The sequence below is a fragment of the Homo sapiens genome, chromosome 2 (genome assembly GCF_000001405.40).
Source record: "Homo sapiens chromosome 2, GRCh38.p14 Primary Assembly".
Taxonomy (NCBI): Eukaryota; Metazoa; Chordata; class Mammalia; order Primates; family Hominidae; genus Homo; species Homo sapiens.
In genome coordinates this window covers 234,043,110-234,049,613 of record NC_000002.12, presented here as the reverse complement: position 1 = coordinate 234,049,613, position 6,504 = coordinate 234,043,110, and positions in this window count along the sequence as shown.

Here is a 6,504-nt window from a genome sequence, read left to right as displayed (position 1 = left end):
TGTTTGGTTTTCTGTTCTTGTGTTAGTTTGCTGAGATTGATGGTTTCCAGCTTCATCCACGTCCCTACAAAGGACATGAACTCATCCCTTTTTATGGCTGCTTAGTATTCCATGGTGTATATGTGCCACATTTTCTTTATCCAGTCTATCATTGACAGGTATTTGGGTTGGTTCCAAGTCTTTGCTATTGTGAACAGTGCCACAATAAACATACCTGTGCATGTGTCTTTATAGTAGAATGATTTATAATCCTTTGTGTACATACCCAGTAATGGGATTGCTGGGTCAAATGGTATTTCTAGTTCTAGATCCTTGAGGAATTGCCACACTGTCTTCCACAATGGTTGAACTAATTCACACTCCCACCAACAGTGTAAAAGTGTTACTATTTCTCCACATCCTCTCCAGCATCTGTTGTTTCCTGACTTTTTAAGGATCGCCATTCTAACTGGCGTGAGATGATATCTCATTGTGGTTTTGATTTGCATTTCTCTAATCACCAATGATGATGAGCATTTTTTCATGTGAGTGTTGGCTGCATAAATGTTTTCTTTTGAGAAGTGTCGGTTCATATCCTTTGCTCACTTTTTAATGGGGTTGGTTGTTTTTTCCTTGTGGCTAGCCATATGCAGAAAGATGAAACTAGATCCCTTCCTTACACCTTATACAAAAATTAACTCAAGATGGATTACAGACTTAAACGTAAAACCTAAAACCATAAAAACCCTAGAAGAAAACCTAAGCAATACCATTCAGGACATAGGCATGGGCAAAGACTTCATGACTAAAATACCAAAAGCAATGGCAACAAAAGCCAAAATAGACAAATGGGCTCTAATTAAACTAAAGAACTTCTGCAGAGCAAAAGAAACTATCATCAGAGTGAACAAGCAACCTACAGAATGGGAGAAAATTTTTGCGATCTATCCATCTGACAAAGGGCCAATACCTAGAATCTACAAAGAGCTTAAACAAGTTTACAAGAAAGAGATTTTAAGGTGTTTGCTCACACAATTGTGGAAGCTGGCAAGTCCAAAGTGTGTGGTGTAGGCTGGGAGGCTTGAGCCCCAGTGAAGAGTTGCGTTTCAGCCAAAGGCAATTGACTGGCAGAATATCTTCCTGCTCGGGGGACATCAGTCTTTTTCTATTCAGGCCTTTGACTGATTGGATGAGGCCCACCCACATAATGGAGGGTAACCTACTTTGCACGAAGTCTATTAATTTAAATGTTAATCTCATTTTTAAACATACCTTCCCAGAAACGTCTAAAATAGTGTTTGACAAAATGTCTGAGTACCGTGGCCTAGCCAAGTTGACACATTATATTAGTCATCATATACAGATTAAATAACAAGCTCTCAGAAGAGTACTTGGCAATTAATTGCTCAACAATTGGTAACCACTAGTAAGAATTCAATTCAATAGATACTTTTAGTATCTGCTACGTGTAAGGCAACAGGTCCAGAGAATATCTGAAATGAACTAATAATCCAGCCTATCCTTCATAAACAATGCAAATGTGGGTGCCAACACAGGTAATACAAATCCCTGGAGGAATTCAGAGAGAAGCTGAAGAAAGACTTCTTGGAGATGATGGAAACATTAGCAGTTTGTGTTCTTCTCTCAAGCTCAGTGCCCAGGAGATCATGTGTCTCTTTGACCTTGGCCTTGATGGATGCAAACTCATTCAACAGGAGAGAAGGAGCCTCAGCCCAGGACAAAAGACCAGAAAAGGCAACACTGGGAATGAGACAGCAGTCATTTGCCAAGGGATGTGGTGGGGAGCAGGGATATTCTTTAAAGGCAGGCCAGGCACTGTTACCAACCAGGAAGATGAGGAGACCTAAACACAATAGATGTACCCTGTAGGAAGGCAGGGATGCCAAGTTTCAATTACTGCTACTGTTATATAAAGCAACTTTATGAATCAAAGTACTGCCTCAGTTTTGCCTGCCCTCTTCACCAAGGGACAAAAGTATGCTTCTGATGACTTTACATACTGACCAGGTCATGATGCTCTCATGAGTATTTACTGCCTTGACCAAAAGATGTTCTTGCTGCAAGTCTTACTCATCAGCACTTTGGCACAGGCATATTTAAAATCCCTGGATAATCTCAGGTTCTAAATGCTCATTCATCTCACTCATGCACAACACTGGGTCCAGCAGTTTCTGGCCACTCTCCAGCCTCATCTTGAGCCATCCTCCCTTCCCCACTAGGTGTCCTTGAGTTCCTTGGGGACACCAAATGACTTCCATCCCAAGGCCTTTCCATATGCTATTCACTGCATCAGACAATAATGACATTCTTCTTGCATGCCCCCAATCAGCTTCTCTCTACCACTCAAGTCTCAGCTAAAAGAGCACCTCCTCAGAGAGCTTCCCTTGATCAAGCCCTGACCTAAACCACTCTATCCTCTAACCCTCCATGCCAGTTCCCTGCTTCCCCCATTCCTAGCACTTACCACAAATGCATAATGATCTTGCTGGTTTGCTTGATGTTGTCTTTCTCCTCTAGTAGACTCTAAGCTCCATGAGGCAGAAACCATGACTGTCTTATTTATGGTATCCCGAAGCACCCAGATAGGAATATGATTAAATATTAGCTGAATGAATGAGTGAGTGAATGAGCACACTTGGTCTCTCTGAACTTTACTCCAAGCCTTTCTGTTTGAAACCGGCACTAATTTCTGGTATGTAACAGGTACACAGAGCGGTGCGCTATGAGGTGATGACCATTAAAATTTGTAATTCTATTACTTTTAACCTGCTTTGAGCTCAATTCCATTAGAGTCTTCCAGATTTAACTAATGGCACCATCTGGCACCAAACTCCATGGTCTCATTAAATGAGCAGTAGTAATAAAACTAATTGCAAAAGAGTAGAGGAGATTAAGGAGACAACAGTAAAATAATGTTGCCAGCACATTGGTGTGGGGAGAGATTCTTTCATTTCTCAGATTCTCTAGGCTACAATTAAACGTTGGCACCAGACATGCAGGGCAGGCACAGATTAGTGCTAAAAAATGATGATCTAAAAATGCCTCTGCAGACTTCTGTCATGTCTAGTAAACCTAGGAGATTAAACACAAGACATCTATTAAATTTCAGGCCATAATGATTTCTTTTATTAGTCTTTCTCCCATCTGCATAAATGTGTACAGCATTAATGCCCCCCAGTTTTGTGCTGCTCCAACACAAATTATTTAGATAAGGTATTAAAAATTATGTGGCACTAAGTGAAAAGAGTTGTGTATAATAGCTTTTTTTAACATAGCCTCTGGAAAGTTATATAAAATTTACCACAGAAAGCTTGACAACAGCAATTGGAAACCTATAGAATTAAGATGGGTGGGCATGCACATTATAGACTAATAAGATTCATTGCTATCATCTTTATTATTTCTTTTGAGATTGTTTCTTTTCATCTTGATCATCTCTGTTATTTGAGAAAAATCACTGCATTTAGAGCAAATGTAAACAAAATCTTTATCTAATGCATAAACCATAGTTTTTGGTGCTGCCTTCCAATTTCATGTAATAGCATGATTTCTAAATTCCTGAACTCCACTATCAAGATTTACCTTGACGGCCTATGGTTCACAACCCTTCCATGTTCAATGCTATTGTTATATTTATTCGGTAGGAACCACAGGTTTATCTGCTAAGCAAAGTAGTACAGATCAGCAGTTCTCACAGTGCAGTCCCAGACCAGCAGCTTCAGCACCTCCTAGGAACTTGCAAATTCCCAAGCCCTATCCCAGACCTGCTAAATCAGGAACTCTAGGAAGAAGATCCAGCCATCTATACGTGTACCAGTTTCCGCATTATTGTGACTTACAGTCAAGTCTGAGATTCACTGGTACAGAGCAATGGTTCTCAAAAGGGATGATTTTTGCCCATTTGGGGGCACTTGGCAATGTTTGAAGTCACTACCAATTGCCACAACTGCAGGAGAGGGTTCTACTGACATCTAGTAGGTAGTAGCTAGAGATACTACTGAACATGATTAATATAATGCACAGGACAGATGCCCACAAGAAAGAATTATCTGGTTCAAAATATGAATAGTGCCAAAGTTGAAAAACCCTGGTATAGGAAAGGACAAAGAAGAGTGAGCCCCACCCCTTTAAGGACACTTCCCAAAGGTCACACACAACATTAATATTTGCATCTCATTGGCCAGAAATACGTTACAGAGCTAAACTACTGTGAGGAACAGTAGGAAATGTAATCTGCTAACTGAGAGGATAGATGGTGGAGTAGTAAGCAAGACTTTGCAAACTTGAGTTGTAGAAACCAGGGAATTTATGCTGCATAGTATAGAGATGAAGGGTATCTCCAGGAAGACAGTTGTGCAGGAGGCTAGAGAGCAATCCTTGGTTGGAAAGTCCCAAAGAAAAGATGAAATTAATAGAGTCCTTGATAAACAATATTCAGAAGAGATTTATATTTCTGATGGAGAGTTTTAGAGTTTCATTTCTGATAAGTACAGAGAAGATAAAGCAAATTTTTTCAATGAGGTGTTGTTATTTTCAGGAAAAAATAAACATTTATTCAAGAAATGTTTATCAGTTGGGAATGTCTTAGTTATAGTGTGGTAACAAACATTTCCAAAGTTGCAGTAGCTGGTAACAATAAGGTTTCATTTTTTGCTTATACTACATATCCACCACAGGTTGAAAGGGGGGTTATCTTCATAATAGTCACAAATGGATGCAAGGCAATGAAGCAACCATTTATTATTATTATTATGGTAAATAACACATAGCAGGAGATCTGCTCTCTTAACAAACGTTAGGTATACAATGCAGTATTGACAACTATGAGTACAATGTCACAAAGCAGATCCCTTGAACCTTTACATCTTGCATGACTGAAACACTACACCCATTGAACAACTCCCTTTCCTCCTTCCCCAAACCCCTATTCTCTAGCAATCACTGTTATATTTTCTGTTTCTATGAGTTTGGTTACTTTAAAAACCTCATATAAATGGAATCATGCAGTATTTGTCCTTTTGTGACTGGCTTATTTAACTTAGTGTAATGTCCTAGCACAATGTTCATCCATGTCATAGCATATGATAGGCTTATTTTTCTAGCTAAATAATATTCCATTCTATGTACATACCACATTTTCCTTATCCATTCATCCATCAATGAACATTTAGGCTATTTCCACCTCTTGGCCTTTGTGAACAATGCTACAATAAACATAAGAGTGCAAATATCTCTTCAAAAACATGACTTCAGTTCTTTTGGATAAATTCCCAGAAGTGGGATTGTGAATCATACGGTAGTTATTTTTAAGTTTTTGAAGAATCACCTTACTGTTTTCTACAGCAGCTGCACCATTTTACATTCACATAAACAGTGTTCAAGACTTCCAACTGCTACACATGTTCACCAACACTTGTTATTTTCTGGCTTTTGGATAATGACCATTCTAACAAGTGTGAGGTGACATATCATTGTGATTTTGATTTGCATTTCTCTGATGACTAGTGATGTTGAGCATCTTTTCATATACTGGTTAGCCATTTATATGTCTTCTTTGGGGAAATGTCTATTCAAATCTTTTGCCAATTTTTTCATTGGGTTATTTGTGGCTTTTGGCCATTATGTTATAGAAGTTCCTTATATATTTCAGACATTAATCCCTTATCAGATGCACAATTTGCAAATATTTTCTGCCATTTTGTAGGTTTCCTTTTCACACTATTGGTTGTTTACTCCACTGTGCAGAAGTCTTTCAGTTTAATTAATCCTACTTGTCTATTCTTGTTTTAGTTGCCTGTGCTTTTGGTGTCATGTCCAAGAAATCACTGCCAAGACCAATGTCATGAAGATTTTCCCATATGTTTTCTTCTAGGAGTTTTACAGTTTTAAGTCTTATGTTTAACTTTTTAATCCATTTTGAGTTGATTTTTGTGTATGGCGCAAGATTAGGATCCAATCTCTTTTACACATGGATATCCAGTTTTTCCAATACCATTCATTGAAGACACTAATGTTTCCCCACTGTTTACTCTGGGCTCCCTTGGCAAAGAGCAATTGATCACTTTTTGTATAGATTAATTTCTGGGCTCTCTATTCTGTTCTATTTGTCTATATGTCTATCGTTAGGCAAGAACCACAGTGTTTTCATTACTATAGCTATATTTTGAAATCAAATAGTGTAACACCTCCAGTTTTGTTCTTTCTGAAGATTGATTTGTGGTCTTCTGTGGTTCCATATAAATTATAGAATTTCTTTCTTTTCTATTTCAATTAAAATGCCATTAGAATTTTGGTAGAAATTGCATTGAATCTTTAGATTTCTTTGGGTAGCATGAACATTTTAACAATAGTATTTCTTGCAATTCATAAAACATAAGTTGCCTTTTTATTTATCTGTGTCTTCTTTGACTTCTTTCCACAATGTTTTGTAGTTTTCAATATACAAGTCTTTTGCATCTTTGGTTAAATTTATTTCTAGGTATTTAATTCATCTTGATGCTATTA